This window comes from Homo sapiens, chromosome 3, assembly GCF_000001405.40.
Source record: "Homo sapiens chromosome 3, GRCh38.p14 Primary Assembly".
Lineage (NCBI taxonomy): Eukaryota > Metazoa > Chordata > Mammalia > Primates > Hominidae > Homo > Homo sapiens.
Genome location: NC_000003.12, coordinates 47,716,647 through 47,733,502, shown reverse-complemented (window position 1 = coordinate 47,733,502; position 16,856 = coordinate 47,716,647). Strand labels below are relative to the sequence as shown.

General features: G+C 41.5%; 1 protein-coding gene across 1 annotated transcript in view; it reads left to right on the top strand.

Annotated features, from left to right (window-relative positions):
• Positions 1-16,856, top strand: part of SMARCC1 (SWI/SNF related BAF chromatin remodeling complex subunit C1) — a 196,625-nt gene that overhangs the window by 48,391 nt on the left and 131,378 nt on the right. The window contains exons 6-7 of the mRNA NM_003074.4: positions 4,409-4,478; positions 12,768-12,837. Coding sequence (NP_003065.3) covers positions 4,409-4,478; positions 12,768-12,837 — 140 coding nt within the window. The remainder of the gene's footprint in view (positions 1-4,408; positions 4,479-12,767; positions 12,838-16,856) is intronic.

Genomic DNA, 16,856 nt, shown 5'->3' with positions numbered 1-16,856 from the left:
ATTACAGTCATGAGCCACCTTGCCCGGCCTTCTTGTTCTTTTTTTAACAACAGGTGTGCTCCACTGCCCCTGGCTATTTTATTTTTATTTTTGAAGAGACAGGGTCTTCCCTAGGCTCGCCTCAAGCTCCTGGCCTCAAGAGATTCCCCCTGCTACCTCGGCCTCCCAAAGTGCTGGGATTGCAGGCGTGAGCCGCAGAACCCGCCCTGCAGCACCACCCCGCAGCCGCCCTGCTCCTTTTTTTAAATGGAAGGTTTGTGGAAACTGTGTCAAGCAAGTCTGTTGGTGCCATTTTCCCAACAGCATGTGCTTACATTATGTCTGTGTATCACATTTTGGTAATTCTCACAGTATTTCAAACTTTTTTAGTTTTTTGCTTGTTTATTTGTTTTTTTTTGAGATGAAGTCTTTCTCTGTCGCCCAGCTGGAGCGCAGTGGTGTGATCTCGGCTCACTGCATCCTCCACCTCCCGGGTTCAAGCAGTTCTCTGACTCAGCCTCCTGAGTAGCTGGGATTACAGGCACCCGCCACCACATCTGGCTAATTTTTGTATTTTTAGTAGAGACGGGGTTTCACTGTGTTGGCCAGGCTGGTCTTGAACTCCTGACCTCGTGATCCACCCCCCTCGGCCTCCCAAAGTGCTGGGATTACAGGTGTGAGCCACCGCGCCTGGCTTACTTTTTTAGTATTATTATACATGTTATAGTGATCTGTGATAGGTGCTATTTGATACTATTTTAATTGCTTTGGTTTAGCACAACACCCATAGAAGATGGTGAAGTTAATTGATAAATGTATGTGTTCTGACTTCTTCACTGACTGGCCACTTCTCTATCTCTCTACCTCTTGTCTAGCCTGCCTATTCCCTGAGACCCACAAGTATTAAAATTAAGCCAATTAATAACCCTACAATGGCCTCTAGCTGGTCAAGTCAAAGGAAGAGTTGCTTATCTCTCACTTTAAATAAAAAGCTAGTAGTGATTTAGTTTAGTGAGGAAGGCATGACAAAAGCCAAGATAAGCTGAGAACTTGGCTTCTTAAGTCAAACAGCTAGGTTTTTAGTGCAAAGGAAAAGTTTTTGAGGGAAATTAAAAGTGGGACTGTAGTGAACATGCAAATGATAGGATGCAAAACATGCTTATTGCTGATACTGAGAAAGTTTCAGTGGTCTGGTTAGGAGATCAGAGCAGCCCAACATTTCCTTAAGCTAAATTCTAATCCAGAACAAAGGCCTAACTCTCTTCAATTCTGTGAAGGCTGAGAGAGAGAGGTGAGGAAGCTGCAGAAGGAACGTTTGAAGCCAGCAGAGGTTGCCTAATGAGGTTTAAGGAAAGAAGCCGTTTTCAGAACATAAAAATGCCAAGTTGAAGCAGCAAGTGCTAATGTAGAAGCTGCAGCAAGTTATCCAGGAGATTTAGTAAAGATAATTGGTGAAGCTGGTTACACCAAACAACAGATGTTCAATGTAAATGAAATAGTCTTCTATTAAAATAAGATGCTATTTAGGACTGTCATAGTTAGAGAAGTCAATGCCTGGCTTAAAAGCTTCAGCCAGGCTATTTTGGGGCTTAATGCAGTTGGTGACTGTAAGTTGAAGCCAATGGTCGTTTGCCATTCTGACAGTCATAAGGCCCTACAGATTATTGTACATCTATTTTGCCTGTGCTCCATAACAAAACAGCAAAGCCTAGATGACAGCACATCTATTTACAGTATGGTTTACTGAATACTTTAAGCCCACTGTAGAGACCTACTGCTCAGGAAAAACAATTTCTTTTGAAATATTACTGCTCATTGACAGTCACCTAGTCACTCTGTTGCAGATGTACAAGGAAATTAATGTTATTTCCATGCATAGTAACACAACTTCCATTCTGCAGCCATGTTTTAAGGAGTATTTTGACTTTCAAGTCTTGTTATTTAAGAAATACATTTTGTAAAGATAGAGCTGCTATAGTTAGTGGTTCTTATGATGGATCTGGGCAAAGTAAATTGAAAATCTTCTGGAACAGATTCATCATTCTAGATGCCACTAAGAACACATGCGATTCATCAGAGGTCAAAATATCAACAGTAACAAGTTTGGAAGACGTGGATTGTGACCCTCATGGTTGACTTTGAGGGGTTAAAGACTTTAGTAGAGGAAGTAACTACAGACGTGGTTCAAATAAGAGAACTAGAATTTGAAGTGAAGCTGGAACATGTGACTGAATTGCCGCGATCTCATGACAAAACTTGAACAGATGGAAGAGTTGTTTCTTATGGATGAACAAAGTGCTTTCTTGACATGGAATCTACTCCTGGCACAGTCGCTGTTAACGTTGAAATGAGAACAAAGGATTTTAAATATTACATACATTTAGTTGATACAGCAAGCAGCAGGGTTTTGAAAGAAATTCTGCTGTGTGTAAAATGCTGTCAGCATCGCATGCTACAGAGAAATCATTTGTGAAAGGAGTCAATCAATGTGACAAACTTTTACTGTTGACTTAAGAAATTGCCACAGCCACCTTAACCTTCAGCAACCACCACCTTGATCAGTCAGCTGCCAGCATCATTGAGGCAGTGTCCTCCAGCAGCAAGAAGACTGATTTGCTTAAGTCTCAGATGATTGTTGGCATTTTTTTTTTTTTTTTGAGATGGCATTTTGCTCTTGTTGTCCAGGCTGGAGTGCAATGGCGCAATCTCGGCTCACTGCAGCCTCTGCCTCCGGGGTTCAAGGGATTCTCCTGCCTCAGCCTCCTGAGTAGCTGGGATTATAGGCGTCTGCCACCACACTTGGCTAATTTTTTGTATTTTTAATAGACACGCGTTTCACCACGTTGGCTAGGCTGGTCTCGAACTTCTGACCTCAGGTGATCCACCCACCTTGACCTCCCAAACTGCTGGGATTACAGGCGTGAGCCACTGGACCCAGCCGCTATTGTTAGCGTTTTCTAGCAATAAAATATTTTTAAATTAAGGTATGTACACTGTTTTCTAAAACTGTGTAAACTTAACTTTTGATTTTTGTTTTGAGAGACAGGGTCTCTCTCACTGTATTGCCCAGGCTAACGTACACTGGCATAATCATAGTTCACTGCAACCTTGAACTCTTGGGCTCAAATGATCCTCCCACCTCACCTCCTGAGTAGCTGGGACTACAGGCACAAAAGTGCCGGGCTAATTTCTTTTTTAATTTGAGACAAGGTCTCACTGTGTTGCCCAGACTAGTCTTGAACTCCTAGGCTCAAGTGATCCTTTCACTTCAGCCTTCCAAAGTGCTGGGATTACAGGTGTGAGCAGCTGCACCTGGCCTAAATGTAACTTTTTTTTTATTTTTTATTTTTTTGAGACGGAGTCTCACTCTGTCCCCCAAGCTAGTGGTGCCATCTCGGCTCACTGCAAACTCTGCCTCCTGGGCTCAAGTGATTCTTCTGCCTCAGCCTCTTGAATAGCTGAGATTACAGACGTGTGCCACCACGCCCAGCTAATTTTTATATTTTTAGTAGAGATGGGGTTTCACCGTGTTGGCCACGCTGGTCTCGAACTCCTGACCTCAAATGATCCACCTGGCTCCCAAATTGCTAGGATTACAGACATGAGCCACCACACCTGGCCATAAATGTAACTTTTATATGCATCAGGAAACTAAATTTGTGCAACTAATTTTGTAATGCTTTATTACGGTGGTCTGAAACTGAACTTGACGATGTATCTGTGTTACGCTTGCACATAGTCCTAGTTTATGGCTCAAGGCCAGGAATGGCATTGATTCACTTGAAGTAATGATAATTTGTGATGACTTTGGAAGTAATTTTAAGAAGTAATAGTACCTGACTGAACACAGTGGCTCACATCTTTAATCCCAGAACTTTGGAAGGCCAAGGCAGGCAGCTCACCTAAGGTCAGGAGTTCAAGACCAGCCTGACCAACATGGTGAAACCCCATCTCTACTAAAAATAGAAAAATTAGCCAGGCGTGCTGGCGGGTGCCTGTAATCCCAGCTACTCAGGAGGCTGAGGCAGGAGAATCGTTTGAACCCAGGAGACGGAGGAGGTTGCAGTGAGCCAAGATTGTGCTGCCACACTATAGCCTGGGTGACAGAGCAAGACTCCATTTCAGGAAAAAAAAGAATTAGTAGTACCCATATTACTGATATGGATACCCAGAGAGAGAGATCTGTAGAGAACTAGCTAATAGGTGCTCGAATTACTTTTCTATACAGCAGTCTAAACTGTGTAGACAATTTTTTGGTTTATTGTTGTTAATCACTTTTTTTTATTTGACTAAAAAGAAGCAAGTCTTTTTTATATAAAGTCTATAAGTAAAACCATGCTTTTAGAATTTGTATGGAATTTGTATCTGGAATCTCATAGTTCATTGCCATGTGCTTTATTTTTGTGGTTTTTGTTCATTTGCTTTCCAGGGAACATTTACGGATGAGAAGTCAAAAGCTTCCCACCACATTTACCCATATTCTTCCTCACAAGACGATGGTAAGTTAGTTTTGCGTTGTGAACAGATGAGCTCATACATCATACCAAATGGATTTTATGTCATACCCCCAAAGACTTAAACAGAATAACCAGCTTTTTATTTGTTTTTGTTTTGTTTTGAAGATGGAGTCTGTCGCCCAGGCTGGAGTGCAGTGGCGCGATCTCAGCTCACTGCCACCTCCACCTCCCGGGTTCAAGAGATTCTCCTGACTCAGCCTCCTGAGTAGCTGGGAATATAGGCGCCCACCACCATGCCCAGCTGTAATATTTGTATTTTTAGTAGAGACAAGAATTTCACCATGTTGGCCAGGATGGTGGTTTCAATCTCTTCACCTCGTGATCTGCCCACCTTGGCCTCCCAAAGTGCTGGGTTTACAGGTGTGAGCCACTGCGCCCAGCCAACATTAACTTTTAAAAGATGTAGTAGAAGCTGTGCCTAGAGGAACATTTATTTCTTTATATTAGGAAAGGAGAAAGGTTAGAAATCAGTGGTCCAAACATCTTTCTCAAGAAATTAGAAAAACAACACCAAATTAAACCTAACGAAAAAGGAAATAATAAAAGCAAAAATTAATGATGTAGAAAGTACACATTAGTGAGATATTCAGCAATGTCAGGTGGTTCTTAGACTAATGAGGGCTGGACCTGGTGTCTCACGCCTGTAATCCCAGCAGTTTGGGAGTCCGAGGTGGGTGGATCACTTGAGGTCAGGAGTTTGAGATCAGCCTGACCAAAATGGTGAAACCCCATCTCTACTAAAAATACCAAAAATTAGCCGGCTGTGCTGGCACCCATTTGTAACCCCAGCTACTTGGGAGGCTGAGGCAGGAGAATCGCTTGAACCTGGGATATGGAGGTTGCAGTGAGTCAAGATCTTGCCACTGCACTCCAGCCTGGGTGACAGAAGGAGACTCCATCTCAAAAAAAAAAAAAAAAAAAAAAAAAAGGGACTAATAAGGTGGTTAAATCCGGGTGTGGTGATACGTGCCTGTATTCCAGCTCCTCTGGAGGCTGAGGTGGGAGGATCACTTGAGGTCAGGAGTTTGAGACTGTGGCATGTGATAATTGTGCCTTTGCGTAGCCATTGCACTCCAACCTGGGCAACATAGTGAAATCTCATGTCTTAAAAAACAAGGCCTGGCGCTGTGGCTCAGGCCTGTAATCCCAGCACTCTGGGAGGCCAAGGCGGGTGGATCACCTGAGGTCAGGAGTTTGAGACCAGCCTCACCAATATGGCGAAATTTAACCAAGAGTGGTGGCAGGTGTCTGTAATCCTAGCTACTCGGGAGGCTGAGGCAGGAGAATCGCTTGAACCTGGGAGGTGGAGGTTGCAGTGAGCTGAGATTGCACCACTGCGCTCTAGCCCGGGCAAGAAGAGCAAAACTCTGTCTTACCTAAAAAAAAAAACAAAAAACAACCTATTGGTAAAAGAGGAAAATGGCCAAAACCCAGGTTAAAATAATTAGGTGAATGGATAAACAAATTGTGGTATGTACACACAGTACAATTTTTTTTTTGAGATGTAGTCTTTGTTCTGTCACCCAGGCTAGAGTGTAGTCATGTGATCTCGGCTCACTGCAACCTCCGCCTCCTGGGTTCAAGTGATTCTCCTGCCTCAGCCTCCTAAGTAGCTGGGATTACAGGTGCCCACCATCATGCCCAGCTAATTTTTGTATTTTTAGTAGAGATGGGGTTTCACCGTCTTGGCCAGGTTGGTCTCGAACTCCTGACCTCATGATCCACCTGCCTCGGCCTCCCAAAGTGCTGGGATTATAGGCGTTAGCCACCGTGCCCGGCCAGTTTTTTTGTTTTAAGGTGGAGTCTTGCTGTGTCACCCAGAATGGAGTGTAGTGGCGTCATCTTGGCGCACTGCAGCCTCCGCCTCCTGGGTTCAAGCGATTCTCCTGCCTCAGCCTCCCGAGTAGCTGGGACTACAGGAGTGCACCACCACACCCAGCTAATTTTTTTTGTATTTTTAGCAGAGACAGGGTTTCACCATGTTGGACAGGCTTGTCTCAAACTCCTGACCTCAAGTGATCCAAACGCCTCAGCCTCCCAAAGTGCTGGTATTAGAGGCGTGAGTCACCACTCCTGGTCCCACACAGTGGAATATTATTCAGCCTTGAAAAAAAAAGGAAATTTTAACACATGCTAATAACATGGAGAAATACCATATGATTCCAATTTTATGAAGTACCCAAAGTAGTGAAATTCATTGATACTGAATATAACATGGTTGTTATCAGAGACTAAGAATTTGACCACCTTAGATGAAATCATACAGAATTTGTGTTTTTATGATTAATTTGTTTTGCTTAGTGTAATGTCTTCAAAGTTTATTCATGTTACAGCATGTGCTAGAATTTCCTTTTTAAGCCTGGCTAATGCTCCATCAGGGAGTTGCTGTTCATTGGGTGTAGGGTTTTAGTTTCATAATGTACAGAGAGATCTGGAGATTGGACATGCAACACTGGGTGTACCTAACAGTACTAAACTGCTTACTTATAAAATGGTTAAAATGGTAAATTTTATGTTTACCGTCTTAACAGAAAGCAAGCAAAACACTGATTAATAGAATAAAGCATTGGCAATAACAATAATAATGATGAAGCAATCCAAATAGAGTTAAACTCTTTAAAAGCGTTCCACCATGTAGAGCTAAATTGTTGTTTCCACTGTTTTCCTGTTTGTTTTCTATATCCATACATATTGGTTGCCTTTCAGCTTCCTGACTGGGCCATGTTCTCTCTTTATTTTTATTTTTTAAATTATTTTACATTATTATTAAATATATTAGAGATGGGTGTCTCACTATATTTCCTAGGCTGGTGTTGAACTCCTGGTATCAAGCAGTCCTCCCACCTCAGCCTCCCAAGTAATATTGTTTATTATTTTTTAATAACAGGCTAATTGAGATATAATCCACATACCATGAAATTCACCTTTTTTTTTTTTTTTTTTTTGAGACAGAGTCTCACTCTTCTACCCAGGCTGGAGTGCAGTGGCGTGATCTTGGCTCACTGCAGCTTCCGCCTCCCAGGTTCAAGCGATTCTCCTGCCTCAGCCTCCTGAGTAGCTGGGATTACAGGCATCCACCACGACACCCAGCTAATGTTTGTATTTTTAGTAGAGACGGGGTTTCACCATGTTGGCCAGGCTCGTCTTGAACTCCTGACCTCAGGTGATTCACCCGACCCAGCCTCCCAAAGTGTTGGGATTACAGGCATGAGTCACTGCGCCTAGCAAAATTCACCATTTTAAAATGCACAGTTGGGCTGGGCCCGATGGCTCATGCCTATAATCCCAGCACTTTGGGATGCTGAGGCAGGCGGATCACCTGAGGCCAGGATTTTGAGACCAGCCTTGCCAACATGGTGAAACCCCGTCTCTACTAAAAACACAAAAAAATAGCTGGGCATGGTGGCGGGCCCCTGTCATTCCAGCTATTTGGGAGGCTGAGGTGGGAGAATTGCTCAAACCCAGGAGGCGGAGGTTGCGGTGAGCCAAGATGGCATCACTGTGCTCCAGCCTGTACAACAGAGTGAGACTCCATCTCCAAAAAAATATATATATATAATAATAATAAAGTGCACAATTGAAAATTTTTTAGTATATTTACAGTTGTGCAGCCATCACTGTTAATTTCAAAATGTTTTCATCACTTTAAAAATAAACCCATACCTGTTAGCAGTCACTTTCCCTTCTCCCACGTTAGTCCTTGACAACCAGCAGTCTACTCTCTTGCTGTATAGATATATTTGTTCAGGTCATTTCGTAGAAATGAAAGCATGATGACATACGATCTCTTATGTCTCACTCTTTTCATTTAGCATAATATTTTCAAGGTGAATCTGTTTGATATTGTATTCCTTTTTTATTGTGGTAAAAAACACATAACATTTATCTTAATCATTTTTACATATACAGTATAGTAGTGTTAAGTATAAACATCTTGTCGTGCAATAGATTTTTTTTTTTTTTTTTTTTTTTTTGTGGAGACAGTCTTTTTCTGTTACCTAGGCTGGAGTGCAGTGGTGCGATCGTGGCTCCATGTAGCCTTGTCCTCCCACCCCAGCCTCCCAAGTAGCTGGGACTGGTGGTGCACAACACCACACATGGCTAATTTAAAAACAATTTTTGTAGAGATATGTTGCCAAGGCTGGTTTCAAACTCCTGGGCTCAAGTGATCCTCCTGCCTCACTTAGCCTCCCAGTGTTTTGGGATTACAGGCGTGAGCCACTGTGCACAGTCACGTGCAAGAGATCTTTAGAACTTTTTCATCTGGCAGAACTGATACTCTGTACCCATTAAACATCTCTTTTTCTCTTTCCCCTAGCACAGGGATGTCCAGTCTTGGCTTCCCTGGGCCACATTGGAAGAATAATAATTGTTTTGGGCCACACATAAAATACAGTAATGCTAGCAATAGTGGATGAACTTAAAACACACCCAGAAAAACCATAATGTTCTAAGAAAACTTATGAATTTGTGTTGGGCTACATTCAAAGCCATCCTTGGCTGCACGTAGCTCATGGGTCTTGGGTTGGACAAGTTTGTGCTACTGCTTTTGACTACCATTCTGCTTTCTAAGAGTTCGACTACTCTAGATAACCTAATATAAGTGGAATCATTTAGTATTTGTATTATTGTGACTGGCCTATTTTACTTGGTACAGTGTCCTTATTGTTCATTCATGTCATAGCATGTGCCTGTATTCCATTATATTTGTATACCATTTTTTATGTATTCATACTTAGATGGATATTTAGGTTGCTTTTGCATTTTGACTATTGTGAATACTGCTGTAATGAACATGGGTGTGCAAGTATCTCTTCAGCATCCTACTTTCATCCTACTTTATTTTGGGCATATACCCAGCAGTGGAATTGCTAGATCGTATGGTAATACTGTTTTTAATTGTTTTGAGGACCCTTTCATAGCTGCTACATCATTTTACATACTCACCAACGGTGCGCAATGGTTCCAGTTTCTCTGTATTTTTGTTAACACTTTTTATTTTCTGTTTTGTTATAATGGTCATCCTAACAGATAAAAAGCTGATATATCATTGTTTTGATTTTCATTGTCTTGATGATTAGTGACATTGAGTATCTTTTCATATGCTTATTGGTCATTTGTATATCATCTTTGGAGAAATACCTACTCAAGTACTTTTTTCGTTTTTCTTTTTTCTTTTTATTTTTTAATTTTTTGAGACGGAGTTTCACTCTTGTTGCCCAGGCCTAAAGTGCAGTGGTGTGGTCTCCGCTCGCTGCAACCTCCACCTCCCAGGTTCAAGCATTTCTGCCTCAGCCACTCAAGTAGCTGGGATTACAGGCCCCCGCCACCATGCCCAGCTAATTTTTGTAGTTTTAGTAGAGACAAGGTTTCATCATGTTGGCCAGGCTGGTCTCAAACTACTGACCTCAGGTGATCTGCCGCCTTGACCTCCCAAAGTGCTGGGGTTACAGGTGTGAGCCACTGTGCCTGGCCTCCTTTTTAAATTGTTTGTTGTTGTTCAGTTGTAGGCCTTTTAAATTTTTTTTTTTTTAAGACAGAATTTCATTCCGTCACCCTGGCTGGTTGCAGTGAGCTGAGATCGTGCCACTGCACTCCAGCCTGGGCAACAGAGTGAGACTCTGTCTCAAAAAAAAAAAAAAAAAAAAAAACCCAACAAAAAAACCCAATTCTGTTCTTCTATCTAAGCTAATTTCAATTATTATATTAACTGTATGATATGCTAATTATTAACTGTATTTTACATTATACTAATTATTATATTAACTGTGTATTTTTATTTTCTGTGTTCTTGTTGCTCTGGCATTTGATGACCTGGGGAGAGATTGCCCTTTTGAGGGCTAGCTAATTTCTGAAGATAATAACTTGCCTAGGAGCACATCTTTCATATGTAAACCAACCAATCTGAGTATATAGCTGTAACCGTCTCCTTATCTAACTCTCACACACCAAACCAGTATTTCCCCTTTTCTAAATCATTCCAGGGCGAGGTACCAGGCAATTAGAGACAACCTCTGTACCCCAGTGTTTCTTGCAATTATTCAGTCATCCCCACCTTAAACTGTTACTCTGCCCTGTGTTACCTTTTCTGTGGAAACCCCAATGCAGGCTTTGGCTTAGGCTTCCCCTTGTTCCTGTCTTCTACCTCTTGACTATTGTGATGCCTCTGCAGTGGCTCTGCATGGTATGTTATTTTCCTTCTTTTGGGATATATAAGTAATTCATCTTTCAATGGCATTGGCCTTACTCTTTTGTCATTCAGCCATACTTCTATAAATTCATTTTTGGGTATAAATTTATAATACCTGGGAAGAGAGCGAGCTTACATCTCACACCTTTTGTTGTTTCTGCTATTGGAAAATATTTCAAATAATTAAAAAAATTGTCTTGATAAAAATCAAAAATTTTTTTGGCCAGGCACAGCGGCTCATGCCTGTAATCCCAGCACTTTGGGAGGCCGAGGTGGTAGATCACCTGAGGTCAGGAGTTTGAGATGAGCCTGATCAAAATGGAGAAACCCCGTCTCTACTAAAAATACAAAAAATTAGGCATGGTGTGGCGCATGCCTGTAATCCCAGCTACTTGGGAGGCTGAGGCAGGAAAATCACTTGAACCCGGGAGGCAGAGGTTGTGGTGAGCCGAGATCGCACCATTGCATTCTAACCTGGGCAACAAGAGTGAAACTCTGTCTCAAAAAAAAAAAAAAAAAAAAATCAAAATTTGTATCAAAAGTCAGCTGTGGTTAGGAAAGATACCTTTTCTTCTTTTTCATAAAGGTGCATAGTCTTTGATAATGGACTCAGTATTCTGAAAGGCAGCTTTTACTAGTTAGAACACCACCAAGACACACTTAACAGGACAGGACAGGTTAGTTTAGGTAGTCGGGATTTAGAAAGATCCTCTGGCCCCTTTTCTTTTTTCCTCTGCCATGTTGAGTTACCATGTTAGGGAACAGGGCCTGATTCTGTCATTTTCACCTTTTGTTTTGAGATGGAGACTCATTTTTGCCCAGCCTGAAGTGCAAGAGTGTACTTATTAATAGCCCATTGCAGCCTCAAACTATAATGCTCGTGATCTTCCTGCCCTAGCCTCCTGAGTAGCTGGGAGTATAGATGCACACCACCATGCCTAGCTATTTACTTTTATTTTTAAAATTTTTTAAGAGACTGAATCTCACTTTGTTGCCCAGGGTGGTCTTGAACTCCTGGGCTCAAGTGATCTTCCTGCCCCTGCCTCCAAAAGTGCTGGGATTACAGGCATGAACCACCACACCTGGCCCCCTTTCACTTTCTTTTAAGATAGTTAGGTGAGTCATTGTATACTTCAAAAACAGCACAGGTATGAGGGCTTCATGGCTTTATTCAGTGAAAATGAGGCTATATCTTGTTAAAATCTGCACTGGAAAGTAATTTTTACTTGGCTAATTTACTTAGATCTGTTTGTTTGTTTGTTTGTTTGTTTGCTGTGGGCTTTAAGGGGGCTTACTTCAGAACTTCTCTCTTACTATTAGGCGTCCATTTTCTAAGCTAAATTCAGACTACCAAAGAAGCACATGATTACCAGTGCTGAAATGTGGAGGTAATTTAACTGTGATTAGAATACTAAGAATCACTTTATTATATAATTTGCACTTATCTTTGGAAAAAATTTTTGAAAAAAAGTCTACAATATGTAATCACATTGCTTACACTCTTGTTGGGAGGGCTAACAGGTATGAGGCAGTGAAAGAATAGTAAAAATAGTATTTTTGGTAAAAGCTTTGATGTAGCACTTTACAGCTTATAGGACATCAGAAAAAGGGAATCTAGAGGAAGCAGAGTAGTTAGTAAAACTTTCATCAATGAGATGAAGTACGGTTTACATCTTGAAAGATGTGTAATAATTGCTAAGCCTCACAGAAAGAGGGATGAGAGGTTCACCATGGGAAGTGAAACATTAAATAATATGGTGATTATTATTTTGATAGAAGAGAGAGGGGAGGCTGGTGGGTGAATGGGATGGGAGTATTTTACCGCAGTGGATAATTGGTTTTGTCAAGAGTGATGGATAGTAGACCTACAGTTTGGAAAGTCAGAAAGACTGAGAAATTTCCCTTTAATCTGGTAGATAGTACTCAATTTGAAAACTTTTTCTTTCCAAACCAGCAACAGCATGTTCGAAAAATGTTGTTCGTTAGCAAACTAAAACATCTTAGTAAAAATTAAGGCTAAAAATCATAGTTTCTTTATTATTTTGTCAGTTTGAGTAAAGTTGTTTCTTTTTCTCTTCCAGAAGAATGGTTGAGACCGGTGATGAGAAAAGAGAAGCAAGTGTTAGTGCATTGGGGCTTTTACCCAGACAGGTAATGTTCATATGCTGTGAGACCTGGTATAAAGATTTCTGTGAAAGGAAGGCACATTTATTTATAGTTTTATTTTCTGAATAGTGACAATTTGTTGCTTTGTGTTTAGTCATTTTTCTCACTTATGGAGTCTTTTATTGACTGTTTTCTTATTTAAGGTACAAAATTTAATGAGGTCACCATTAAATGGTGAATGAATAAGCCATAAATGGCTTTATTTAGCTTTAAAAAAAACTGATATCAAGGCTGGGCACAGTGGCTCATGCTTGTAATCCCAGCACTTTGGGAGGCTGAGGCAGTGGATCATGAGGTCAGGAGCTCAAGACCAGCCTGGTCAACATAGTGAAACCCCATCTCTACTAAAAATAAAAAAAATTAGCCAGACGTGGTGGCAGGTGCCTGTAATCCCAGCTACTCAGGAAGCTAAGGCAGGAGAATCCCTTGAACCCGGGAGGTGGAGGTTTCAGTGAGCCGAGATTGCGCCGTTTCCCTCCAGCCTGGGCAACGGAGTGAGACTCCGTCTCAAAAAAAACCAAAAACAAAACCTCATATCTTTTATGTAGTTGCCAAAAAAGTCTGTGTGGTATTAGGTTGCTAATTTATATTTGTTTCTTTTAAGAAATGAATTTTGCCGGGCACAGTGGCCCATGCCTGTAATCGCAGCACTTGGAGAGGCCAAGGTGGGTGGATCACATGAGGTCAGGAGTTCAAGACCAGCCTGGCCAACATGGTGAAACTCCATCTCTACTAAAACTATAAAAAGTTAACCAGACATGGTAGCGCACGCCTGTAATCCCAGCTACTCAGGTGTCTGAGGCATGAGAATCACTTGAACCTGGGAAGCGGAGGTTGCAGTGAGCCGAGATCATGGCACTACACTCCATCCTTGGTGACAGAGTCTCACTCTGTCTTCAAAAAATAAATAATTTTTTTTCTAGTGTTTATTACTGATCAGATTTTTTTGAGACAGAGTCCCGCTTTGTCGCCCAGGCTGGATTACAGTGGCACAGTCCCGACTCACTGCAACCTCCACCTCCTGGGTTCAAGTGATTCTCCTGCCTCCATCCTTCCTAGTAGCTGGGATTACAGATGCCCCCCAACCATGCCTGGCTAATTTTTGTATTTTTAGTAGAGACGGGGTTTCACCATGCTGGTCAGGCTGGTCTTGCACTCCTGACCTCAGGTGATCCACCCACCTTGGCTTCTCAAAGTGCTGGGATTACAGGTGTGAGCCACCGCGTCCAGCCTGATCAGTTTGCTTTTTTCAAAAACTACTTATGCGAAACCACTAAGGATGAAATTAATTTATGTTGAAAATTGAGTTTTCTCATCAGAAATTTATTTGCCTAGTACTGTTGTGGCTTTACATGTTATAACCCATACTAGTTTCAGTATCTACAGTATGAATAACGAGTATTATAAACAAGAGCTAGATATTAGTGAAAATAGTGGGGCCGGGCGTGGTGGCTCACACCTGTAATCCCAGTACTTTGGGAGGCCAAGGCGGGCGGATCACGAGGTCAGGAGACTGAGACCATCCTGGCTAACACGGTGAAACCCCCGTCTCTACTAAAAATACAAAAAAATTGGCCGGGCATGGTGGTGGGTGCCTGTAGTCCCAGCTACTTGGGAGGCTGAGGCAGGAGAATGGCATGAACCCCGGGGGCGGAGCTTGCCGTGAGCCGAGATTGCGCCACTGCAGTCCAGCCTGGGTGACAGAGACTCCATCTCAAAAAAAAATTTTTTTTAATTTATTAAATAATTATTTAATATTAATGCCTGCATAGTGCACATGGAAATAGGGATAACATTGTTTGTACTATATTTTTCTAAACCTATAGTAGAGCAGTTTTAGTATTTATTTCATTCTTGTCATGTAAAGTGGAGATTTTCATTGTGTTTTCTACAGGTCTAGTCAGTCTTCTTTCACCTACTTTTTTTATTTTTATTTTTTTATTTTATTTTTTCATAAGTTATTGGGGTACAGTTGATATGTGGTTACATGAGTAAATTCTTTAATGGTGATTTGGTGCACCCATCATCCGAGCAGTATACACTGCACCTTATTTGTAGTCTTTTATCCCTTGCCCCTACCCCCCACTTTTTTTTAACCTCTTCTTCTATCTACTTCTCGTCTTCTCATATTATTTATAGCAAATCCCAAACACCATTTGAATCATAAGTGTTTTAGTATGTATTTAAAAAGAAATACATTCTCTCTTTAATTTTTTTCAGATGGAGTCTTACTCTTTCTCCCAGGCTGGAGTGCAGTGGCGCAACCTCAGCTCCGCCTCCCTGGTTCTAGCGATTCTCATGCCTTAGCCTCCTGAGTAGCTGGGATTATAGGCGCATGCCACCACACCTGGCTAATTTCTGTATTTTTAGTAGAGATGAGATTTTGCCATGTTGGCCAGGCTGGTTTCAAACTCCTGACCTCAGGTGATCCACCCACCTTGGCCTCCCAAAGTGCTGGGATTATAGGTGTGAGCCACCGTGCCTGGCCTTTTTTTTTTTTTTTTTTTTTTTTGAGACAAGGTCTTGCTCTGTTACCCAGGCTGCAGTGCAGTGGCATGAAGACAGCTCAAGTGATCCTCCAACCTCAGCCTCCCTGGGGGCTGGCACTACGGGCACGTGCCACCCATAGGTGCCTTATTTTTTAATTTTTTGTTGGCGGGGGCAGGGGGGGTGCTCTGTATGTTGTTCAGGCTGGTCTCAACCTCCTGGCCTCAAACTGTTCAAAGTAATAATACCATTGTCATCTTAAAAAAACCCAAACAGTTCCTTAATATAAAATATCATGGCTGGGCATGATGGCTCATGCCTGTAATCCCAGCACTTTGGGAGGCTGAGGTGGGTGGATCACTTGAGGCCAGGAGTTCTAGACCACCTTGGGCAACGTGGTGAAACCTTGTCTCTACAAAAAATACAAAAATTAGCCAGTCATGATGACACGTGCCTGTAGTCCCAGATACTTGGGATGGGGCTGAGGCAGGAGGATTACTTGAGCCCCAGAGGTTGAGGCTGCAGTGAGCTGAGACCGTGCCACTGCACTCCAGCCTGGGCAACAGAGTGAGACCCTGTCTCAAAAAAATAAAAATAAAAATCCAGTCAATGTTGTCAATTAAATGACACGATTGATTGATTGATAGTTGTTTGAATTAGAATTTAGATAAAATCTACCTGTTGGGATTAGTTGGTATATTTAAGTACTTTTCTGATTTATAGTTTTATAGGTTCTTCCTCTGTCTTCATGACCTCCCCTTTCTTAAAACCTTACTGGTTTTAAGAAACCAGTTGGTTTGTCATGTTTCGTTTACCACAGTATGGAGTTTTTCAATGGCAGCACTATGGTTTATTTGAACGGATTACTGTGTTCTCTGTATTTCCCTTAAATTGGTAGCCGGATCTAAGGTTAGTCAGATTCCATTTTAATTGGGGAGGAACAAGACTATTGCATATATGTGTATTCTTTATCAGTAAACATAAAACATCAGGTTTTGCATTGTTTTTATTAGTCTATTTAAGTTTATTTTGCTTGTAATTATATTTTTAAAAGAAGGAAGTTTGTCTTTAGATTCATTCAACATTTTAAAAGTATATACAATCTTTTTATGTAGTTCGAGTTAATTACAACTAAATCAAGTCAGCTTTGTAATCAGTCTCATGTGAACCATAATTGACAAATTTAAGTGAATAACTTCCCCTCCCCTAAGGATTAGTTTTTTACTTTTTAAAAATATGTTGCCCAGACTGGCCTCAAATTCCTGGGCTCATGTGATTCTTCTGCCTCCTTACTAACTGGGACTACAAGTACATGTGACTAGGCCCAGCTTATTTTTAAAACATCATTTGAATAAGTTCTTTCTGTAAAGCACTCCCAGTCTAAAGGCTTCAAGTCAGTAGTCCTTGCATCCAAAAACACCTTTTAATATTTCAGCAACTATATAGGAAAAGGTTTGCCCTTTGAAACCCTTCAATGGAAACTTAAATTTATGATGACAAGCTACATAAGTATAGAG